At 48.0% G+C, this 24,256-nt stretch overlaps 5 annotated features.

Annotated features, from left to right (window-relative positions):
• Positions 4,237-4,306: an enhancer, noted in NCBI's record as "active region_7028". NCBI's record gives its function as "activates an Ori minimal core promoter by ATAC-STARR-seq in GM12878 lymphoblastoid cells {active_cell/tissue: GM12878}" and the evidence as "EXISTENCE:reporter gene assay evidence [ECO:0000049][PMID:35858748]".
• Positions 4,487-4,536: a silencer, noted in NCBI's record as "silent region_4864". NCBI's record gives its function as "represses an Ori minimal core promoter by ATAC-STARR-seq in GM12878 lymphoblastoid cells {active_cell/tissue: GM12878}" and the evidence as "EXISTENCE:reporter gene assay evidence [ECO:0000049][PMID:35858748]".
• Positions 17,111-17,610: an enhancer, noted in NCBI's record as "NANOG-H3K4me1 hESC enhancer chr12:111251419-111251918 (GRCh37/hg19 assembly coordinates)". NCBI's record gives its function as "activates a minimal SCP1, AML or CMV promoter by ChIP-STARR-seq in primed H9 embryonic stem cells {active_cell/tissue: H9 hESC(primed)}" and the evidence as "EXISTENCE:reporter gene assay evidence [ECO:0000049][PMID:30033119]".
• Positions 21,531-22,032: an enhancer, noted in NCBI's record as "NANOG hESC enhancer chr12:111246997-111247498 (GRCh37/hg19 assembly coordinates)". NCBI's record gives its function as "activates a minimal SCP1, AML or CMV promoter by ChIP-STARR-seq in naive H9 embryonic stem cells {active_cell/tissue: H9 hESC(naive)}" and the evidence as "EXISTENCE:reporter gene assay evidence [ECO:0000049][PMID:30033119]".
• Positions 23,343-23,606: a transcriptional cis regulatory region, noted in NCBI's record as "candidate enhancer chr12.3641 targeted for multiplex CRISPR interference". NCBI's record gives its function as "positively regulates PPTC7 gene expression with high confidence in K562 cells {active_cell/tissue: K562}" and the evidence as "EXISTENCE:mutant phenotype evidence [ECO:0000015][PMID:30612741]".

The following is a 24,256-nucleotide window of genomic DNA, read 5'->3' as shown; positions in this document are numbered from 1 at the left end:
TGACCAGGTTTCAACCTAGGCTGATGAACAGTCTTGATTTTCCTGGACTGAAGGGTTTCCTGGGACGTGGATCTGACAGTGCAAAAACTAGGGACAGTCCCAGGAAAATCAGAACAGTTGGTCACCCTATATCCCAGTTACCAATAACTAGTATAATTTTAACACGTTTGTTTGTTTGTTCACTCTTGTTACCCAGGCTGGAGTGCAGTGGTGTGATCTCAGCTCAATACAACCTCCACCTCCCAAATTCAAGTGATTCTCCTACCTCAGCCTCCTGAGGAGCTGGGATTACAGGTGCGCACCACCACACCCGGCTAATTTTGTATTTTTAGTAGAGACGGGGTTTCACCATGTTGGCCAGGCTGGTCTTGAACTCTGACCTCAAGTGATCCGCCTGCCTCTGCCTCCCAAAGTGCTGGGATTACAGACATGAGCCACCACGCCCAGCCCAGCACTCATTATGTGACATCTTTGTACCTCAGTTTCCCCATCTGTAGAATGGGAGTAATAACCATATCTACGTCATAACGTTTTGTTAATATTTAACATATTAAGGTGTTTTGGAACTGCCTGAGTGTTTGGCATTAATAGGATTATGAAAATTTGGATTTCCAGATTCACTTTCCTCGAAAGATTAGAAGATCTGGCAACAAAAAGGGTTACATTCTTATTTACCTAATTTATTTAGCAAATGTTATAAATAATGCCTTTTTTCTTTGAAACAGGGTCTCACTCTGTCACCAGGCTGGCATGTGGTGGCGTGATCACAGCTCACTGTAGCCTTGAACTTCCAGGCTCAGGTTATCTTCCCTCCTCAGCTTCCTGAGTACCTTGGACCACAGGCATGCGCCACCATGCCCGGCTAATTTTTTTTTTTTTTTTTTTTAAGTAGAGACAGTGTCTCCCTAGGTTACCAGGCTGGTCCCGAACTCCTGAGCTCAAGTGATCCTCCCACCTCGGCCTCCCAAAGTGCTGGATTATGGGTGCGAGCCACCCCGCCTGGCATATAATACTTTTTACTATGCACCACACACTGTTCTAAGCACTTGCAGAACTTTCACCCACTCAGCCCTCAGAACAACTCTGTGAGATGGGTTCTGTTTTTTTTGTTTGTTTTTGAGTGGGTGTCACTCTGTCACCCAGGCTAGAGTGCAATGGCATGATCTCGGCTCACTGCAACCTCCGCCTCCCGGGTTCAAACGATTTTGCTGCCTCAGCCACCCAAGTAGCTGGGATTACAGATGTATACCACCACGCCTGGCTAATTTTTTTTTTTTTTTTTTTTTTTTTGTATTTTAAGTAGAGACAGGGTTTCACCATGTTGGCCAGGCCAGTCTTGAACTTCTGACCTCAGGTGATCCACCCATCTCAGCCTCCTAAAGAGCTGGGATTACAGGTGTGAGCCACTGCACCCGGCCAAGATGGGTTCTGCTATTGTTCAGTTTTACAGATGAGAAAACTGAGGCACAAGGAGGTGAAGTGACTTGTCCAGTGTCACACGACGAGTAAAGGGCAGAACCAGGATCTGAACCCCAAATGTCTGACTCTAGGCATGACGGTCAGCTAGCACTGGGTCTTAATTAACCCCTCGAGGAGGGCATGGACTCCCCACTTCGCCCCAGCTCCCGCCCCAATTTCCTATTTCCATTCCTCCCAGGCCCCTTTGAGCTCTGTGTTTTCTTCCCTCACATACTGGGTGCTCAAGCACAATGACAGCCTTGCCAAAAGATACCCAGGGAACACGCTTCAGGTCACGCTGGCCCCGGAGCTGGGAATTTAGCCTGAGGTCTAAATCCAACTTTCATTTTCTGAGTCCCACGCTTTCTCAAAAAGCCATCCTCTCCTCAGACAGAATTAGATTAATCTCCTTATCCAATAGCTCAGGATCAGGCGGACAGTCGGGTCACCTGCTTCAGCCCGGCCAGACCTGATTACCCTCTGTGACCCCAAAATTCACTCATGCGCACCTGCCCCTGACACGTTTGCTGATTAATAACGGCAGGGAGTTTGGGGATGGTGCGTTTTTCACCTTCTGGGAGCATCAGTGGCTTGAACACAAAGGCCACCTGAGGAAGAGCTGTAGTTAAACACCCATGGCCTCAGCCCTTGGCCCCCTCCCCCCAGCCACCCACCCTGCCCAGAATCTGTGCCCTTTTAAACTTCCACCAAATTCCATACAATTTAATGTCCCAGAAAATAAAAGCTGATCAAATCAATAGTCATCAAACTAAAAAAACTTGAGAGCTGCCAGCATGTTCTGAAATTATTCTGTTTGGGCTGGGCGTGGTGGCTCATGCCCGTAATCCCAGCACTTTGAAAGGCCAAGGTGGGTGGATCACTTGCGGTCAGGATTTCGAGACCAGCCTGGCCAACATAATGAAACCCCATCTCTACTAAAAATACAAAAATTGGCCAGGCACGGTGGCTCACACCTTAATCCCAGCACTTTGGGAGGCCGAGGCAGGTGGATCGCTTGAGGTCAGAAGTTTGAGACCAGCCTGGCCAACATGGTGAAATCCCATCTCTAATAAAAATACAACAATTAGCCAGGCATGGTGGTGCGTGCCTGTAATCCCAGCTACTTGGGAGGCTGAGGCAGGAGAATTGCTTGAACCTGGGAGGCGGAGGTTGCAGTGAGCAGAGACCGTGCCACTGCACTTCAGCCTGGGCAACAGAGTGAGACTCCATCTCAAAAAACAAAACAAAACAAAACACAAAAATTAGCCAGGCATGGTGGGCACCTGTAGTCCCAGCTACTCGGAAGGCTGAGACAGGAGAATCACTTGAACCCGGGAGGCGGAGGTTGCAGTTAGCCAAGATCATGCCATTGCACTCCAGCCTGGGCGACAGAACAAGACTCCGTCTCAAAAAAAGAAAGAAAGAAAGAGAGAGAGAGAGAAAGAAAGAAAAAAAAGAAAGAAAGAAAGAGAAAGAAAGAAAGAAAGAAAGAAAGAAAGAAAGAAAGAAAAGAAAAGAAAAGAAAAGAAAAGAAAAGAAAAGAAAAAAGAAAAGAAAAGAAAAGAAAAGAAAAGAAAAAAGGAAAAGGAAAAGGAAAGAAAAGAAAAGAAAAGAAAAATTATCCTGTTCAGGGCTGTGTAAGGACCCGCTGTTGTCTTTTTCCGCCTTCTTGTAAGAGCACATCAATTTCCCTCTGGAGGGTCATTCCATCTCCCGGCGCTCAGTCCATGAGGTTGTGGAGGCTGCCCCGCGCTGTCAGATGCAGGTAGCTATTCCTCTATTGAGAGCTCCTATCAGGGAGCCCCTCTCTCACAGCTTCTGATCTCAGACTCCAGAACAGTCTTTCCCCTGCACTTGCCAGTCCCAGGCACTTCGCCATCCCTGCTGGCTCTCCCCATCCTGCCCACACACTCGCTTGTCACTCCCATGTGACTGTCTCCAGGGGACCCTAACTGATACATCTGGAGACCCAGCAGTCCTTTTGGGAGCTGAGCACGCCTCCCACCACTCCCTACATTGTTTGCCCGGCTCCCTTTACTTCTTTGCCTCTGGGCCAAGGCCTCCTGGGCTTTTCCCTTTTATTGAAAATGCCCTGGGGGCCAGCGTGGTGGTTCACACCTGTAATCCCAACACTTTGGGAGGCTGAGGTGGGTGGATCACTTGAGGTCAGGAGTTCGAGACCAGCCTGGCCAACATGGTGAAACCCCGTCTCTACTAAAAATACAAAAATTAGCTGGGCATGGTGGCATGCACCTGTAGTCCCAGCTACTCTGAAGGCTGAGGCAGGAGAATCGCTTGAACCAGAGAGGTGGAGGTTGCAGTGAGCTGAGATCCTGCTAACTGCACTCTAGCCTGGGCGACAGAATGAGACTTCGTCTTAAAAAAAATTATTTTTAATTTAAAAAGTTTAAAAAAGAAAGAAAGAAAGAAAATGCTCCGGGGAGGGCTGTCACCTCTCTCTCTTAGGATTTCCCCTCTCACACTTAACTTCAAGTGGGGGCAATCTCCCAGCAAGCCTCCTCCTCACTGTTCTGATTTTTACGCTCAGCCCTCCCTGCCCGAGTGGCCACCACACTCAAGGGAGTGTCCTAGAGATTTTTGCAGGCGTGAGCTCATTTGTTGCACACTCTTGTGGGAAGAGCCACGTGAGGAGGTTACACAGCTGAAGCGGTCTCCCGACATTCAAGCAGTCACGGATGCTGAACTGTTGCAGATGTGGTAAATTGGTAGTAGGCAGGAGGGCATGCTGGTTATAGGCTTGGGCGGTGGAGGCAGACAGACCTGATCTCAAATCCCACCTCTGCGATGTGACTCGGGCAAGTGGTTTAACCTCTCCCGGCCTCTGTTTCATGATCCAGTCTGCCATGTTGCACAATTCCAGGAAACGCCATTCATGTTGGTGCACCAGGGGGCGCCACTTACACAGACAATACAGTGAACGCCATCCCCAGGGTCCTGTAAGGCGGTGGTGCTGACAACACTGCCTCCCTCAGTCAGGGCTCCACATGTCAAGAGTAGGCACTCAGCAATCATCCCAATAGCCTTCTCCTCATTTTACAAAAGAGGAAACTGAGGTTCAGAGAGGTCACATGATATGCCCCAGGTCACAGGTCAAATAAATGACTGAGCCAGAATTTGAATACAAAATTTCTTTCACGCTGGGCAAGGATGGCTTATGCCTGTAATCCCAGCACTTTGGGATGTCGAGGTGGGAGGATTGCTTGAGCCCAGGAGTTCAAGACCAGCCTGGGAAACATAGTGAGACCCCATCTCTACAAAAAATTTTAAAAATTAGCTGGGTGTGGTGGCACACACCTGTGGTCCCAGCTATTCAGGAGGCTGAGGTGGGAGAATCACTTGAGCCCAGGAAATTGAGGCTGCAGTGAACCATGATCACTGACACTGCACTCCAGCTTGGGTGACAGAGTAAGACCCTGTCTCTAAAGACAAAAAAACAGGCCGGGTGTGGTGGCTCATGCCTGTAATCCCAGCATTTTGGGAGGCCAAGGCAGGCAGATCACTTGAGGTCAGGTGTTCAAGACCAGCCTGGCCAACATGGTAAAACCCTGTCTCTGCTAAAAATACAAAAATTAGCCCAGCATAGTGGCACATGCCTGTAATCCCAGCTACTCGGGAGGCTGAGACAGGAGAATTGCTTGGACCTGGGGCGTGGAGGCTGCAGTGAGCTGATATCACACCACTGCACTCCAGCCTGGGTGACAGAGTGAGACTCTGTCTTAAAAAAAAAAAAAAAAGAAAGAAAAGAAAAGAAAAAGAAACAAACAAAAAATCAAAAATTTTATTTAATCCAGGGCCTGTGCACTCTCTAGCCTGCTGTTCTATCTCCAGAGATCTTCAGTTTGGGTGGATGCAACACCACACACATCTTCACAGCCACAGTCCATCCCTTCCCTCTCAGAGCACCTCTGCCATCACCAAAGAGTTTTCCTTGAACTGTAAGTTGTTGTCTCTCCCTCCCTCTTTTCCCTCTGGTATTTCCAATTCCAGGCATGGCAAATATTTAGTTCCCCATGGCTGATCCCACGGCAGACATTACTAAACAGTCCCGGCACTCTTTCCACTTAGATCCAGGATGCAACCCACCAGGCAGCCATTACTAAGTGATCCAGGTTATCTGTCAAGACAAACCACGAGTTCTATTAGAATCTTCATCAGCTCTTCCCACTCGCTGCCCCAAATAGTAATAGGTGTTCATACATTAAGGAAATGTTTGTGAATGGACACATTGGGCTTTCCTTCTTACTAGCTCTGTGACTTTGGCCAAGTCCCCTCATCTTTCTGATGTCAAACAGAAATGGAAGTTTAGAAAAATGAAGGGACTTGCCTAAGGTCACAACTAGCAAGAGAGGGAACAAAATTATGTCCAACAGAGACAAGAAGGGCTGTTGAAGGTGTGGGTCTATGTAGAATTCTTAGCATACTGCCTGGCACATGGCACATACTCAACATCACCAGGCTTCTTTTGTATAAAACAGGATTGGTTCCGTGCTCTGACCCCAGCCTTTCATAAAACTGTTCTCTGGGGCTCTCTGGCCAGAATCTTTCCTTGGTATGACAACGTAGAAGGCCCCAGAAAGCCCATTGGCTCAGAGATTTGAGAGAATGCACTCTGGAATACTGGCACGGAGTAGCCGAGTACTTTCTAGAACTCTGGGCTGGATTCAGGAGCTATGAGATCAGATTTTCGAGATCCTGGCTTTCCCAGTTGAGAAGCAGAAGTTGCAAAGACCATCCCAAAGGCCCCTCTCACATTCAAACCTGGCTCCCTCCTGGCTCCCTCCCTGCTTTGCAGTGGCCCAAAGCAAGCTGGTGGGCACGTTCTATTATTAAAAGTTTCCCCAAGCTGTTGTATAACCCTGGTTGCCACACAGCAGGAGGGAAGGCAGGGACCCAGGAGGCTGGGCTCCCAGCTCTGAAAAAGATGACAACTTCCCTCCAAACCTGGCTGGCTACAGGCATGACCACTTGATGGGCTACCGCACCTAGTTCCCTTCCCTTCCTTCATTTCCCTCACTTCTTTCCTTCCTTCCTTCTTTCCTTCCTTTCTTCCTTCCTTCCCTCCTTCCTTCCTTCCTTCCTTCCCTCCCTCCCTTCCATCCTTCTTTCCTTTCTTCCTTCCTTCCATTCCCTCCCTCCGTCCCTCCCTCCCTCCTTCCCTTCCTTCCTTCCTTCCCTCTTCCTCTGTTTCTTCCTTCCCTCCTTCCTCCCTTTCTTCCTTCCCTCCCTTTCTTCCTTCCTTTCTTCCCTCCCTCCCTTCCGTCCTTCCTTCTTTCCTTTCTTCCCTCCCTCCCTTCCTTCTTTCCTCCCTCCCTCCTTCCTTCCTTTCTTCCTTCCTTCCCTCCTTCCTTCCTTCCCTCCCTCCTTCCTTCCTTCCCTCCCTCCTTCCCTACCTCCTTCCTCTCTTTCTTCCTTCCTTCCTTTCTTACTTTCATTCAGGGACTACTGATTGAAAACATGGGCCCTGGAGCCATGAGCTCAGGTCTAGCACCAGCCAGGCATAGTGGCTCATGCCTGTAATCCTAGCACTTTGGGAGACCACAGCAGGTGACCACCTGAGGTCAGGAGTTTGAGACCAACCTGGCCAACATGGTGAAACCCCGTCTCTACTAAAAATACAAAAATTAGTTGGGTGTGGTGGCAGATGCCTGTAGTCCCAGCTACTCGGGAGGCTAAGGCAAAAGAATCGCTTGAACCTGGGAGGCAGAGGTTGCAGTGAGCCAACTCTCTGTGCCTCAGTTTCCTCATCTGTAAAATATGAATAAGAATAGTTATTCATTCTCTGTCTAACAAAAAAAAATAGTCTGACCTTATAGAATTGTTGAGAAGATTTAATAACTTACTGCACAGGTAGCACTTCGAACAGCACCTGGTGCTTCACAAGTGCTGTGTAAGTGTTTGTTATTATTGTTAAACGGTGTTGAAGGAGCAGCTATGGTGGGTGCTGTGAACAAACCTGTGAGCAAGTCCCAGATGGCCTCACAGTCCCTGGCCTCACAGAACCCACAGCCTAAGAGGGCAGACCAGCATTAAATAATTACACAATTAAGTGATTAGTTATTGTTGGCCTAACCACTGTGAAAGGCCATGAGTGTATCTGAAAGGGAGACCGGATCTATTCTTGCCAAAGGGCAGGGGAGTCAGGGAATGTTTCCAAGGAGGAGAGAGAGTTTGCAACTGTGTCTTTATTGGCTTGTCCATTCATTTATCATTCATTGTCTGCCTCTGGCACCAGTGTGTAAGCTCCAAGAGGTCTGGGATCGTGTATATTTTATTTACTAATGTTTACCTGGCATTGGGAGGCACCATAACTATGTGAGGTTTTTTGGTTTTTGTTTTCTGAGACAGAGTCTTGCTCTGTCACCCAGGCTGGAGTGCAGTGGCGAGAACTCGGCTCACTGCAACTTCTGTCTCACGGGTTCAAGTGATTCTTGCACCTCAGCCACCCAAGTAGCTGGGATTACAGACACGTGCCACCACACCTGGCTAATTTTCATATTTTTAGTAGAGATGGGGTTTCACCATGTTGGCCAGGCTAGTCTTGAACTCCTGACCTCAGGTGATCCACCCACCTCGGCCATCGAAAGTGCTAAGATTACAGACCTGAGCCACAATGGCCGGCCAATAACTATGTTTGGATCAATGGATGAATGAATGAAAGGATGTTGCATTGGAGACCAGGATGAGTCAGTGCAAACCACGTGACTAGAGGGATGAAAGAGCACCCTGAGCAGACGAACCAGCAAGTGCAAAGGCCCCGTAGCTGGAAGGAGGTCTGAGTGTTTCCAGAAATGAAGCAAGGACATGATGTCTGGAGCTGGCAAAGGAGAGCCACAGAGAGAGTAGAACAGACCACACAGGACCTTGGAGACACATGGTGAAGTCTCTCCACCAGGTGCCCAGTCAGAGCTGCAATGTGAGGTGATCCAGGGTGTTAGAGAAGCTGGGGTTCAGGTCCCAGGTGCTCCACTTTCTGGCTACAGGCAAGTCAATTAACCCGTATAAGCCCTGGCTTCCTTCTTTGCAAAGGGGATGCTAATAGTAACCTATAGCAAGGGGCTCAGGGAGGATGATGGAATTAAGGCACGTTAGCGCAGTACCTGGCATAGTGCAGGTGGTGCTCACGAAAGGTAGCTGTGGTTATAATAACAATATCACTATGATCAACCCAGGCCTCATGGTTCTCCTTTTCTGTCCTCTAAAGCTCAATCACCCCCTTAAGGAGGGCTCTCCCTGTCCAGTCCAGCCCAGGGACAAAGCTGTTTCCAGTCCTCCCAACTCAGAACAGGCCCCAGGTTCCCAAGGCCCTCCTGGGGCTGTTCTCCTTGAAGTTCCCGCAGCCAAGACTATAAGATGGTTCCCTCTGCTCAGGGCAGAATCTGCATCTACATTGCTAAGCAACCAACCCCCATCCAGATGCCAGCTGCACCCCAGCCCAGGGATGACATCAGCACTCTGAGAAGGGTCTCCTGGGGGCATTTCCAGGACTCAAGCTGCAACCAGGGCTGTAACAGGAGAGAGCAGAGGCAAGGTGACCCCCCTGCCACCAGCTGGTCCACAGCCCTCAGTGAGAGTCAGGGCGCAGCATAGAAAGCCACAGGGTCCAAACATGTTCAGACCCCAGCTGTGCAGCTTTGGTCAAGTCGCCAAACCTCTCTGAGCCTCAGCTACTCATCTCCACAATGAGCTGGCCAGACCTAACTGCAGATTCATCGTGAGGATGATACAGAATGCTATACATGAAAATGCCCAGCACAAGGTAGGTGCCCAAACAACCTTGAAATATGAATGCATCTCCAGGGGTGAGTCCACCAGTCTTGTCACCCATCAGTGGTGACAAAGATAAAACTCCTTAGCCTGCCTAACCTGTCCCCTCACTTGATCCCCCAAGTTTCTTCTCTCAAATTAATACCTCCTAGTTCTGGGCTTCTCAACCTCAGCACTATTTTTTTTTAACAGCTTTATTGGCATATAATTCCCATACATTGCAATTCACCCATTTAGAGTACACACTTCTGGCCAGGCGTGGTGGCTCATGCTTGTAATCCCAGCACTTTGGGAGGCCAAGGAGGGCGGATCGCTTGAGCCCAGGAGTTCGAGACCAGACTGGCCAACATGGTGAAACCCAGTCTCTACTAAATATACAAAAATTAGCCGGGCTTGGTGGCACACACCTGTAATCCCAGCTACTCGGGAGGCTGAAGCAGGAGAATCACTTGAGCCCAGGAGGTGGAGGGCCAAGATTGCGCCACTGCACTCCAGCCTGGCAGCAGAGCAAACTCTGTCTCAAAAAAACAAAAACAAAAAAAACAGACTCCTTACTCAAAAGTGAATTGATATCTGAGACCATGTGAGATAACGCCTTGGACAAGGGTTTTCTGAATCCTACAGGGTTATACAATATACCCCTACAATTGCAGATAGGTTAGTTAAGAGTCACACAGATGTAGATTCAAGTCCCAATTCTGTCACCATGTTTGGTATTGAGGTTTGACTCAATAAATAAAAATGTAAAGCTTTGAGAAGAAAGAAGAGGCTGGGCACAGTGGCCCACGCCTGTAATCCTAGCACATTGGGAGGCCAAGGCAGGAGGATCCCTTGAGTCCAGGAGTTCAAGACCAGCCTGGGCAACACAGTGAGAACTCATCTCTACCGAAAAAGAAGAAGAGGAAGAAGGAGAAGGAGAAGGAGAAGAAGAAGAAAGAAGAAGGTGGAGGGGGAGGGGGAGAAGGAGAAAGGGAAGGGGAGAGGAAAAAGGGGAGCTAGAGAGGGAGGGAAGAGGGAGGGGAGAGGGGAGGGGGAGAGGGAAGGGGAGGGGGAGAGGGAAGGGGATGGAGAGAGGGAAGGGGAGGGGGAGAGGGAGAGGGAGAAGAAGAAGAAAGGGGAAGAAGACGAAGAAGGAGGAGGAGGAGGGGAAGGAGGATAAAGGGAGAGGGGAGAGAAGGAGGGGGTGAGGGGGAGGGACAGGGGGAGGGAAGGGGAGGGGGAAAGGGAAGGGGAGGGGAGAGAGGGAAGAAGAAGAAAGAGGAAGAAGAAGAAGAAGGAGGGGACTGGGGAGAGGGGAGGAGGAGGGGGAGGGAGGGAGAGGGGGAAAGGAAGGGGAGAGGAGAGGGAGAAGAAGAAAGAAGAAGAGGAGGGGGAGAGGAGGAGGGAGGGGGAAGGAGGGGGAAAGGGAAGGGGAGGGGAACGGGGAGAAGAAGAAGAAGGAGAAGTAGAAGGAGAAGAAGAAGGAGGAGGAGGAGGAGGAAAAAGGAAGAATAAAGAAGGAAGAAGCTTATTTCTTTCTTAACTAGGCCTGGTTATGGTGGTCAATGGTATCCTCCCAGCCAGATGCACCTCCATTCAGGGCACTCCTACGTCGCAGTTCAAGATGGTGGCCTTCAAGTTCCAGATGCCAGAATAAAAGAAGGGATGAAGAAGCAGTGACCTCTTAGAGAGAGTGTTTCAGAACCACTGCGGGACTCTTCCCCCGACATCCTTAGCCCATACCAGAGTCCCATGGCCACACTTACCCACAAAGGAGGCTGGGAATTCTGGACAGCCATGTTCCCTAGTAAAATTGGATTTCTTTTACTTTGAAAGAGGGAAAAAAATGGATGTTGGGAACATGGAGCAGTCTTTGCCACAGTTCTGTAGGCCTCGGTGTCCTCTTCTGTGATCTGTGGGTAACAATAGTTTCACCTCACAAGGTCGTTGCAAGAATGAATTGAGTTAATGGGTATAAAGAGCTTACTAAGTGGGCAGTGAATATTAGTAATTATGATGATGATTAGTAGAACATCTTGACAGCAAATTAGCAGGAGGAAAAAGAAGTCACTGTTTTCTGTGCCAAGGAAGGGTGTGACCAGGTGAAATCGGGCTCGTTGATTTGGTAAATGTGGGCACCTCCCTAATGACAGGGAACCGCCCAGAGAAAACATTCAAGACCAGCTTTAATGCCCAGAGAGCAGTCAAAGGTAAATTCGTATCTCCCTTTGTATCCAAGAATCGAGTCAATGTCCTCAGGGACAATTTGTGCTGCTAAGGGAGCCAAAGGTGGCCCTTGAATTAACTCACACAATTCATTTGCTTCTCAAATCTTGTTCCCAGGGCCTGGGTGAAGCAGGCCCTGGGCTCCCTTGATAGTAAGTGGGGCTGGGGAGTGAGTGGTTGCTGTCAGTTGAAGGGACCACAGGACAGGGCTGGAATCTTGAGTCTTTCCAGGGGGTGTCTGGTGCTCTCGTCCACTGAACTTGGACAGAAAATCCTCTTCTTAGGAGCAGACAAAATTTTTCTTGGGAGAGAAAAAAAGTTTTTTGTTATCATCTTTTCTGATTTCAAGATTAGCAATTTGTCTAGCAAAATCCCAACAAACTAACATGTATCCAACAGGCCTTGTGAGAGGGATGTGAACCAGAGCAACTCCATCTTGAATAGGGGCTGAGTAAAATGAGGCTGAGACCTACCGGGCTGCATTCCTAGATGGTTAAGGTATTCTAAGTCACAGGATGAGATAGGAGGTAGGCAGATACAGGTCATAAAGACCTGGCTGATAAAACAGTTTGCAATAAAGAAGCCGGCTAAAACCCACCAAAACCAAGATGGCAACAAGACTTGACCTCTGGTCGTCCTCACTGCTACGCTCCCACCAGCATCATGACAGTTTATAAATGCCATGACAATGTCAGGAAGTTACCGTATATGATCTAAAAAGGGGAGGCATGAATAATCCACCCCTTGTTTAGCATATCATCAAGAAATAACCATAAAAATAGGGCCACTAACAGCCCTCAGGGCTGCTCTGTCTATGGAGTAGCCATTCTTTTATCCCTTACTTTCCTAATAAACTTGCTTTCACTTTACTCTATGGACTCACTCGACTTCTTTCTTCCGAGAGATCCAAGAACCCTCTCTTGGAGTCTGGATCGGGACCCCTTTCCAGTAACAGCCTCAGGAGCGTCCTGGAATTCCACTGGGGGTTTCTCAAGATGTAGTGTGCACCAGGGCCTTGTTAAAAATGCAGGTGTCACCATGAGTTGCTAATCATTGACATGAACAATGGGTGTACAAAGGTTAATTATAATATTCTGAGCCAAGGAAGGTGGCTCATGCCTATAATTCCAGCAGTTTGGGAAGCTGAGGCAAGAGGATCTCTTGAGCCTAGGAATTCAAGAACAGCCCTGGCAACATAGCAAGACCCCGTCTCTACAAAAGAAATTAGAAAATTAGCTGGGTGCAGTAGTGCACACCCATAGTCTGAGCTACTCAGGTGGCTGAGGTGGGAGGATCCCATGAGCCCAGGTGTTTGAGGTGACTGAGCCATGATCGTGCCACTGCACTCCAGCCTAGGTAAAAGAGGGAGACCATGTCTCAAGAAAATAAAAAAATAGGCCAGGTGCAGTGGCTCATGCCTGTAATCCCAGCACTTTGGAAGGCCAAGGCAGATGGAGCACTTGAGGTCAGGAGTTCAAGACCAGCCTGGCCAACATGGTTAAACCCCATCTCTACTAAAAATACAAAAAATTAGTGGAGCATGGTGGCACATGCCTGCAGTCCCAGCTACTCGGGAGGCTGAGACAGGAGGATCACTTGAATCTAGGAGGCAGAGGTTGCAGTGAGCTGAGATGGTGCCACTGTACTCCAGCCTGGGCGACAGAGCAAGACTCTGTCTTAAAAGAAAAGAAACAAAATAAAAAATTGTGGCCGGGCATGGTGGCTCATGCCAGCACTTTGGGAGGCCGTGTTTTTTAACATTTTATAAGCATTTTATAAGCATTAATTCATTTAATTCTCACAATAACCCTATGAGATAGGTACTATTATTAATCCTATTTTACAGATATGGAAAGTGCTAGAAATGGAAAAAATAGGAGGATAAAAACAAACACCTGGCCGGGCGCGGTGGCTCACGCCTGTAATCCCAGCACTTTGGGAGGCCAAGGCGGGCAGATCATGAGGTCAGGAGATCTAGACCATCCTTGCTAACACTGTGAAACCCCATCTCTACTAAAAATACAAAGAATTAGCCGGGCGTGGTGGTGGGCGCCTGTAGTGGGTGGCTCATCCCAGCACTTTGGGAGGCCGAGGCGGGTGGATCACAAGGTCGGGAGATCGAGACCACCCTGGCTAACACGGTGAAACCCCGTCTCTACTAAAAATACAAAAACAAAAGTTAGCCAGGTGTGGTGGCGGGCGCCTGTAGTCCCAGCTACTCGGGAGGCTGAGGCAGGAGAATGGCGTGAACCTGGGAGGCGGAGCTTGGAGTGAGCCGAGATCGCGCCACTGCACTGCAGCCTGGGCGACAGAGCGAGACTCCATCTCAATTTAGAAAAAAAGGTAACATTCTCTCTACTTTCATGTATGTTCAACATTTTCTATAACAAAAGGTTTTTAATTTAAAAAAATATATTTAATACAGGTAGCAGAACCCAGCCCCAAAAACTTCTCAATCTGTAGCTCAGGGTGGAAAAGGAATCTTTTCATGCCCACTTGTTTCAACACAGTTAGAAAAAAACACTTAGATTGGATTCATTACGTACTAGATCTGTTGGAAGTGCTTTATAAATAGGAAGATAATCTCATACCTGCATGTCATTATTGCACCATTTTACAGATGAGGAAACTGAGGCATACATAGGTGAAGTGATTTGCCCTCTTCTCACAGCTAGCAAGTGGCAAGGCTAGGATATGAACCCAGGCAGCCAGGCTCAGAAACGAAGTTCCACCCTCTATCTCCTCTGCCTCTTACAGTTCTGTGAGCAACCTCTATTGACATTCTAACTAGCTCCTTTCAGACTTTTTAAAACTCTCTTGTTTTCACATTCATCTATATCTGCATAAAGATTGTAGGAAGAACAGGCTGGGCACAGTCCAGCCTCTGGTCCTTTGTTCCTCTGGTCCTTTTGTTACTTGGGCTTGGAAAGTTGGGACTTTCCTTTTGATTTAGTTCTAGGAAGTCAGCATGAACTGACCTTAGTTTCCCTGCCTGCAGACGCTATTCTCCTGCCTCAGTGTCAGCAACGAATTCCTAGTGGATTTTACCTGGCTATCTCAGGTATCCCAGAATATCCCAGAGCATCCCAGGAAGAAGCACCTCCTTGAGTTTAAAATACTCACATACCATCCACCTCCCCATCCCAGTCACTGTCTAACCCTCTTCCCCTGCTTTGCTTGTTTCCATTGCTGTTATTTTTCTCTGCTATTATATATTCATTTGTTATTGTTTACTTACCTGCTGTCTGTCACTCCCTGTAGCACATGAGCTTCATGATGGCAGGGACCTTGTCTCCTGTTTTCCTTGCTACAGTACAGCCCTGGCACCTTGCCCAGCAACTGACACACACTAGGTGCTCAATAAAGCACTGAGTGCGTGTGTGAGTCAATGAGAAGTTGGGATATGAGGACAGCTTATGTCTGTGAGCTGGGCCCAGGCTGGCCCTCCCAGAGATGATGTTTCACAAAGGTCTCAGCTCAATCCTGAAATATAAAGACTCAGAATTCTCAAGGCCAGATGGTGTTAACCGCCTTCTGAAAGTGTCTGAAGGCCAGGCAGAGTCAGGGAGAGGTCTCCATTTGGCTGCAGAGGACAAAGAAGTAAAATAATTCAGCAGAGACCAGCTCAGTTGCACCAGATGAGATCCAGGCAGCAAGGGAAGGAGGGAATTCGCCAAAGATGCTCCATTTCCTCAGTCACACACACATGGGTTGTCCAACAGGTGAGATGACAATGATGATGATGATGATAGCTAACATTAATGTAATGAAATATTTACCAGATGCTGCTCTGAGCTCTTTAATACATTCATTCATTTAACCCTCACAACATTACCTCTGAGGCAGGTAATGTGGTTATCCCCATCTTACAGAAGGATAAGTTAAGGCACAGAGCGGTTAGGGAACTTGCCAGAGTGACAAGGCTTGGAAGTAGCTGAGCAGGAATTGGACCAGGTGACCCTGGGCATGTGTCAGAGCAAAACATCTCACTGTCACCTACCACCCACCCAAAAATGCCCCAAACGTTTCAGGTCCCAAAACCAGGGCCAGGCTGACACAATACTGCCCTCTTGTATCATGAATTCCCATTCAGACCACATATTTGCCTTCATGCTGCAGAGGCAGGGTAGTGGCTACAGCCTGAGCCTAGGGTCTCAATGTTTTCTCGGCTGTGTAACCTTGAACAAGTTGCTTGAGTTGCCTGAACCTCAGTTTCCTCATCTGTAAAACAGGATGGTGACTGTACCTACCTTGTAGGATTGTGAGGAGGAATTGAGTAATACAAAGGGTATAGCACAAATCTCAGCTCATAGTAAGCACTCAATAAAAGTAGCTACTGGGGCCAAGCACGGTGGCTCACGCCTGTAATCCCAGCACTTTGGGAGGCCGAGGCAGGCGGATCACTTGAGGTCAGGAGTTGAAGGCCAGCCTGGCCAACATGGTGATATGTCTCTACTAAAAATACAAAAGTTAGCCAAGCATGGTGGCAGGTACCTGTAGTCCCAGCTACTCAGGAGGCTGAGGCAGGAGAATCGCCTGTATCCAGGAGGCAGAGGTTGCAGTGAGCCGAGATATCACACCATTGCACTCCAGCCTGGGGGTACAGAGTGAGATCCATCTCAAAACAAAACAAAACAAAACAAAAAAACAGCAGGGAGCTGTTAGCACTGCAGCCCTAAAGGAGACAGGAGGGAGTGTTTTAGAAGAGGAGGCTTCCAAAACCAGACCCAGTGGCTGTCCTGGCTGGGAGAGAGGCCTGATTGAAACCGTGGCCTTCAGTGGAAGAATGTATGGTGTCCCCACCAGAAGGAGCTGGGAAAATGAACATCGTGAGCCCCCTCCCCTCTTGCCCTCTATTCCGTCCAGGTTCCCAATTGGCCAAATCCACCCAAAAGCAGAGGGCAAACTCCCAGGTGCCCAGAAAGTGGAAGGGGCAGGGAAGGGATCTGGGGAGGCCACCAGAAGACACCCAGGACTGCCCAGGGTCACACTGCTAGTTAATGGCAGAGCCACAATTCGAACTCAAGCCATCTGGCTCCAGCATGTACTCAGCTGCAGATGGTGAGGTCTAAAGACCACCTAACAGATGGGGCGCACCCCAACACAGCCAGATCACAGCCTCAGTTAAGCTGGTGTTTGGGTCAAATTGCGTGCTTCTCATTCATGAAATTGGGTTCCTTCCAGAACTTTCTGGACCTTATTTGATCCCTGGTGAGAGGGATGCCACAATGGTTAAGCAAACACAGTGAAAGCCTGTTTGCAGTCAGACAGGCTTAGGTTCAAATCCCAGCTCAAGGCTGGGTGTGGTGGCTCATGCCTGTAATCCCAACACTTTGGAGTTCAAGATGAGAGGATTGTTTGAGCCCAGAAGTTCAAAACCAGCCTTGACCAAGAAAAAATTTAAAATTAGCCAGACTTGGTGATGCATGCGGGTCGTCCCAGCTACTTGGGAGGCTGAGGCAGGAGGATCACCTGTGCCCAGGAGGTCAAGGCTGTAGTGAACTGAGATGACTCCATTGCACTCCAACTTGGGCGACAGAGTGAGACTCTGTCCCAAAAATAAATAAATAAGCTGGGTATGGTGGCGCATACCTGTAGTCACAGTTGCTCTGGAGGCTGAGGTGAGAGTATCACCTGAGCCCAGGAGTTCCAGGCTGCAGTGAGCCATGTTGGCACCACTGCACTCCAACCTGGGTGACAGAGTGAGATCCTGTCTCAAAAAACAACAAAATCCCAGCTCAGCCACTTCCTAACTAAGCAATAAGGGATAAGTGATGTCACCTCTCTGAACCTCAGTCGCCTCATCTGTGAAATGGAGCTAATGATAATAGAATGGTGAGAGTCCTGGGGGACAGATCAGCCAAGAGTGCCCAGCATATTGCTGGCACTTATTGTGCAGGGAGGACACGTTGCTGTTTTTTGAGGTTTTTGTTTGTTTGTTTTTTGGTTTTTGTTGTTGTTGTTTGTTTTTGTTTTTGTTTTGAGACAGTTTCCCTCTGTCACCCAGGCTGAAGTGCAATGGCGTGATCTCGGCTCACTGCAACCTCTGCCTCCTGGGCTCAAGCGATTCTCATGCCTCAGCCTCCCAAGTACCTGGGATTACAGGTACCTGCCACCACACCCGGCTAATTTTTGTATTTTTACTGATCTGCCCGTCTCCCAAAGACCTGGGATTACAAACAGCCACTGCACCCAGCCACGTTGCTGTTTTTATCCCCGCCCAGCCTTGACCCCTGTCTGCCCTCCACTTCCCACCTGCCAGCCTGCTCCTCGACCTTGCCAAAACCCTCCCGCCTTCCACAGGATCAAAGTCAGAGAAATTAAAAGCCCAGCAGGATCCCTTAAGACTCAGCCAGCTTAGCAACCCAGGCAATTAAGAAATCTCTGTGATTTGAATTCTGAGCAAATCGGATCTTGAAAAAAAATGTCCCCAACTCAAAACCCCTCTGAGGAACTAAATCTGATGCCCCGCAAAGCTCTTTTTTTCAAGTCCTTTGAATCTTGAAAGGTAAGAGTTGTAAATATGTGTATCTTACACAGGGCTGCCCAATCCTCTCAAAGGTTTCAAGGTCAACGGAGATGTTAAAAATACAGGTTCCCCAGACAAACGCAAACTGAGGGGCATTCTACAAAACAAGTGGTCTAAACACTTGTAAAATATCCAAGTCTGCGGAGGCCAATGTGGGAGGATAGCCTGAACCCAGGCTGCCCTGGGCACCATGGCAAGACCCCATTTCTAAAGAAAAAGAAGAAGAAGGAGAAGGAGAAGGGGAAGGGGAAGGGGAGAAAGAGGAAGAGGAGGAGGAGGAGGAAGAGATAGAAGAAATAGAATGTCAAGGTCATGAATGATGGGGGTGGGGGGGTGCTGAAGAACTCTCAGATTAAAAGAGATAGGCTGGGCACGGCGGCTCATACCTGTAATCCCAGCACTTTGGGAAGCTGAGGCGGGTGGAACACTTGAGGCCAGGAGTTCGAGCCCAGCCTGGCCAACATGGTGAAAACCCATCTCTAATAAAAATGCAAAACAATTAGCCGAGTGTAGTGGCACACACCTGTAGTCCCAGCTGCTCAGGAGGCTAAGGCATGAGAATCACTTGAACCCAGGAGGCAGAGGTTGCAGTGAGCCGAGATCACACCATTGCACTTCAGCCTGGGCGACAGAGTGAGACTCTGTCTCAAAAAAAATAAAAGAGAACGAATTTTTTGTTCTAATATAACTAAAGCAATGTGTGATCATTAAAAAATAAAGGGGTGGTGACAATTAGGGAAACTTACCATGTACTGTGGATTAGATATTCACATTGATGCTAAGTATCCTAAATTTCATAATTCAGTGCTGAGTTATGTAAGAGAATTTCCTTGATCTCAGGAGGTAAGCTCAGGTAAAGAGGCATTACGTTTGTAACTTCTCAAATGATTCAGAAAAAAAAATACGCATATTTATATCTGGAAAGTGAGAAGTGATAGAGCAAATGTGATGAGCTATACATCACTCTTTGGAACTATTCTTGTGACTTTTCTTTAAGGATGAAATTATGTCAGTGAAAAGTTTTGGTTTTTGTAAAATACAGATCCCCGGGTCACTCACTGGACTTTTGGAGCAGCCCAGGAATCTGCATTTTTAGCACGCTCCCTAGGGCAGTTGGGCACACAAGAAGCCTGACACGGGAGCTCTGCAGACACGCAAGCCTACATTCCCAGAGGGCAGAAGCACAGCCCATAAGGTTCTTACTCTCCTGTCCCTCCCTGCTGTTCCAGGCAACAAGCAAAGAGCCACACATGGAGGGCTTTGCAAACCAACAGCGTGAGAGGTTCATCCAGATTTTTGCCAAGGGCAGAGCTAGCTCTGAGCCTCTAACCAACTCATCATTACATGACTTAAAATACAATTTGCTGAAGACAATCTTCTGGGAAGGGAGACAGAGAAAGAAAGAAACCAAGGGTCAAGGAGGAGGCAGCCAAGACAGGATAGAGGAGGACCCTGGAAACCAGAAGGCTCCTGTGAGTGTATGCATCAGGGGTAGCAGTGACATTGCTTGGCTTTAGCCCTCCTTAGTCATTTTCATCTGGGGACATCAGCAGCAGCTGCCATTTCTTAATGCATGGGAGGCACCAACAGCTCTGCCTGGCATTGGTGTTCAAATATGCCAGGGGGCTGCCTCATGAATGCAGGGCTGCTTCTCACAAACAGAGCCTTGGAAAAAGTGACTATACCCCACAAGGCAATTAGGAGAAAAACAACTCAGGTAGAAGCACAGCCCAGCCCAGCCAGGGGCTTGCAAACCACTCTGACCAGGACCCACAATAAGGAAGACATTTGCATCACAATCTAGTGACACACACACACACACACACACACAAACACACACACACACAAACACACACACACACTGTGATGGGCATGAAATGCTCCATTTCCTTTGGTTTTTTTTGTTTTTTTTGTTTTTTTGAGACAGAGTCTTGCTCTGTCACCCAGGCTGGAATGCAGTACATGACCTCAGCTCACTGCAACCTCCGCCTCCCAAGTTCAAGCAATCCTCCTGCCTCAGCCTCCTGAGTAGCTGGGATTACAGGCACGCACAGCCACACCCAGCTAATTTTTGTATTTTTAGTAGAGATGGGGTTTCACCAAGTTGGCCAGACTGGTCTCGAACTCCTGACCTCAAGTAATCCACCCGTCTCAGCCTCCCAAAGTGCTGGGATTACAGGAGTGGGCCACTGTGCCCGGCCTAGTCATCTTTTTGTTTTTGCTAATGAAACCTTAGGTATTGGATGGGCAGAGATTCATTAGACATAAACAATGACCCACTTCTAGCCAAGGAGACATAAGGAGAAGGCTGTTCCTGGGGCTTCTGCAGAATTTTTTTTTTTTCTGAATTTAACTGCAGAATTTTTTTTTTTCTGAATAAAATAAATGTGTGAGGAGCTGCTCTCCACACCTGCTTCCTTTAGAGGTGGTTGTATGAGGATGTGATACCTGGCAGTGGCAGCGACAGCCATTCTGTGACTATGAGGAGACATGGCCAACATGTCAAGGGTATCAGAGAGGAAATACATGGAAAGAACCCAGGTCATTGATGAAGCTGTTGAGATGAACTAACTTTGAAATCACCTATTACCAAATCTATTATGCAAAAAAGGAACCCCTAGTATTTAATCCATGTTTAGCCAGGCGCTCTTTTACTTGCAGCCAAAGACAGCCCAAAGGACATGCTAACCATCCTCCATGCTTCACGGGCATAGCCCAGGCAGGTGTTTTCAAAGCCATGGCTGACTGAAATCAATGTAGTGGGTCATGACCAACATGAAAATAAATAAAATAGTATAGATAATATGAGAATGCATGACACATAGAAAAGATAAATATTGTTTCTCAAAACTCCTGTTTGACTTATGTGTATCCCACATTAGGATCCCCAGGAAGCAGACTCTAAGATAGAATTTAGTGTTTAGGGGATATTTGAAGAAGCCCCCTTGAGATCACCTCCTGGGGAAGGAGCAGAGAGGAAGCAGGAGTGGGTAGGGAGAGAAGTTGACCTGAAATGCAGGTGCAACACCATATTTACCAACCCCACCAGGAAACAGGAAGTTAAGATGGCTGTTCAGAATTGTCTAGATTGGGCCAAGATGGCCAGACCTTTGTATATCCCCTAATCAAAATTACTAGACGTGGGACATCCCAGGAAATTTATGTGACCTTGGGCAAGGTGGCCTTCTGCAGGTGAGGCAGGGGCTCAGCCCAAGGACCTGACACCTGGATGCTCTCTGAGGACACCACTTTCAGCAGCTGGAACAGGGCTCTCCTTAAAAGGAAATGGAGCAGCTGGGCACAGTGCCTCATGCCAGTAATCCCAGCACTTTGGGAGGCCAAGGCGGGTAGATCACTTGAGCTCAGGAATTCTAGACCAGCCTGGCCAACATGGTGAAAACTCCTCTCTACTAAAAATACAAAAATTAGCTTTGCATGGTGGCACACACCTGTAATCCCAGCTACTTGGGAGGCTGAGGCAGGAGAATTGCTTGAACTGGGGAGGTGGAGGTTGCAGCGAGCTGAGATCATGCCACTGCGCTCCAGTCTGGGTGACAGAGTGAGACTACACCTCAAAAAAAAAAAAGTGAATGAATGTTGCTAAGGTCTGCCACAGTCCATGTTAGATATCCCTTTCAGCCCTCATTTCCTTATGGGCTTCCATGTCAAAGACCCCGAGGCGGGAGCAGAGGCATTGATCTGGAGCAGATTCATAGCAATTGTACCACCACCAAGGCTTCCTAGATCTGTGACAGACACCACCAGTCAATTACAGCAAGTTTCCCACTGAGCAAGAATGTGGTTTCACAATGTATCTCAACAAAGTATTCCATGTACCCATTACCAACCCATTAGAATTACAACCTGAGATAAAATCTGGTTCCTGCCCTGACCTCTATACCAGAGGATAATAAAGGAAGCTGATAGAAGGTTATTGCTGGTTATTGCTCTGCATTTTCAAAACACTCTCTGACTCATGCCATCCACCCCTCCCTCCCCACATTGGATGTGTCCTCCTTCTCTCTGCCTATCTAAATCCCACCCATCTTTCAAAGAGGCTCAACTCGGAGCAGAGATCCTGTCTTAAAAGACCCTGTCTTAAAAATAAATACATAAAATTCATTTTAAAAAAGAGGCTCAACTCAAACCTGACTCCTCCAGGAAGTCTCCCCTGGGTGTCCCAACCTTGTCTAAAATTATTCACTGAACCCACTGACCAAACCTGACATCACTCCAAGTGGGATAACCAAACATTGAGAGCTTCCTAATGTGATGCGAACAAGAATCTCTATAAAGTGTTCTTGCCCCATGTGACTCTAATCCAGCCTGTAGATTAACTACCCATTTACAAGGAATATGGAGGCTAACAGTAAATAACACCTGGAATGTAATTAGCAAAAATCTAGAATGTCGGAAACGGAAGGACAAGGCTCCAGGGTCTTCAGCAAGTAAATGACATTTTAAAAAACAGGAAGAAATTTGTAGATTTGTATCAGTTATCTATTGTCCACAATAATACTATATAATAAATTACACTAGAATTTAGTGATTTATTTATTTTTTATTTATTTTGAGACTGAGTCTCGCTCTTGTTGCCCAGGCTGGAGTGCAATGACACAATCTCGGCTCACCTCAACCTCCGCCTCCAGGGTTCAAGCGATTCTCCTGCCTCAGCCTCCCGAGTAGCTGGGATTAGAGGCATGTGCCACCATGCCTGGCTAATTTTATTTTTAGTAGAGACAGGGTTTCTCCATGTTGGTCAGGCTGGTCTGGAACTCCCTACCTCAGGCGATCTGCCCACCTTGGCCTCCCAAAGTGCTGGGATTACAGGTGTGAGCCACTGCGCCTGGCCTATTTTTTTATTTTTATTTATTTATTTATTTATTTTTTTGAGACAGGTTCTCACTCTGTGGCCCAGGCTGGAGTGCAATGGTGAGATCTCGACTCATGGCAACCTCCAGTCCCAGGCTCAGGTGACCCTCCCATCTCAGCCTCCTGAGTAGTGGAGACCACAGGCGCACACCACCATACCCAGCTAATTTTTCTATTTTTAGTAGACACAGGGTTTCTTCCTGTTGCCCAGGCTGGTCTGAACTCCTGGGCTCAAGTGATCCAACCACCTGGACCTCCCAAAGTGCTGGGATTACAGGCGTGAGCCACTGCGCCTGGCCAAATTTAGTGATTTTAAAATAACAATTATTATTACACAAGAAGCTGTGGCTCTTTTGGTCTGGGCCAGGTTCAGCTGAGCTGGGCTGGGCTGATCTCATGTTCTGTGGTCAGCTGGCGGGTCAGAAGATGGGCTGGCCTAGAACAGCCTCACCTGGCACAGCTCTTCTGCCCACAGTCTCTTGTCCCACAGCAGGCTGCCTGGGCTTGCTCTCCTTGCTGAGGCAGGGGTCCAAGAAGCATGTAGAATCACGTAGAGGCATCAAGGCTGGGACCGAGACGGCACTCACTTTTACTTCTGCTGCATTCTATTGGCCCAAGCAAGTCACCTGACCAAGCCCAGATTCAAAGGTTGAAAATAGACTCCTCCTCAACAAGAGAAGCCGCCTTCACCTTGCGAAGGACGTGAATACAGAAAGAGACCATTTTTTGGCAATTAATCCCCCACAGGGTAGAAAGAGACTAAGTATATATCAATCAATGCAATGTGTGCCCTTGCTCAGATCCTGACTTCAACAGACCAACTGCAAAACCTCATTTTTGTAGTCATTAGGGCAAATTGAACATAGAATATTAGATGGTAACAAGGAAGTGTGGTTTTTTAATTTTATTTATTTATTTTTTTGACGGAGTTTCGCTCTTGTTGCCTAGGCTGGAGTGCAATGGTGCGATCTTGGCTCACTGCAACCTCCACCTCCCAGGTTCAAGCGATTCTCCTGCCTCAGCCTCCCGAGTAGCTGGGATTACAGGCATGTGCCACCATGCCTGGCTAATTTTGTATTTTTAGTAGAGACGGTGTTTCTCCATGTTGGTCAGGCTGGTCTTGAACTCTCGACCTCAGGTGATCCACCCGCTCTCAGCCTCCCAAAGTGCTGGGATTACAGGCGTGAGCCACAGCGCCCGGCTTAGGAAGTGTTAATTCTTTAAGTATGATAATGGTATTGTGAATATTTTCTAATGCGTTTATTGTTAGAAATACATATTGCATTCCGGGTGCGGTGGCTCACGCCTATAATCCCAACACTTTGGGAGGCCGAGGCGGGCAGATCATGAGGTCAAGAGATCGAGACCATCCTGGCCAACATGGCAAAACCCCGTCTCTACTAAAAA

This window comes from Homo sapiens, chromosome 12 (genome assembly GCF_000001405.40).
Source record: "Homo sapiens chromosome 12, GRCh38.p14 Primary Assembly".
Classification (NCBI taxonomy): domain Eukaryota; kingdom Metazoa; phylum Chordata; class Mammalia; order Primates; family Hominidae; genus Homo; species Homo sapiens.
Note: the sequence above shows the minus strand (reverse complement) of the source record. Positions and strands in the feature narration are given on the sequence as shown.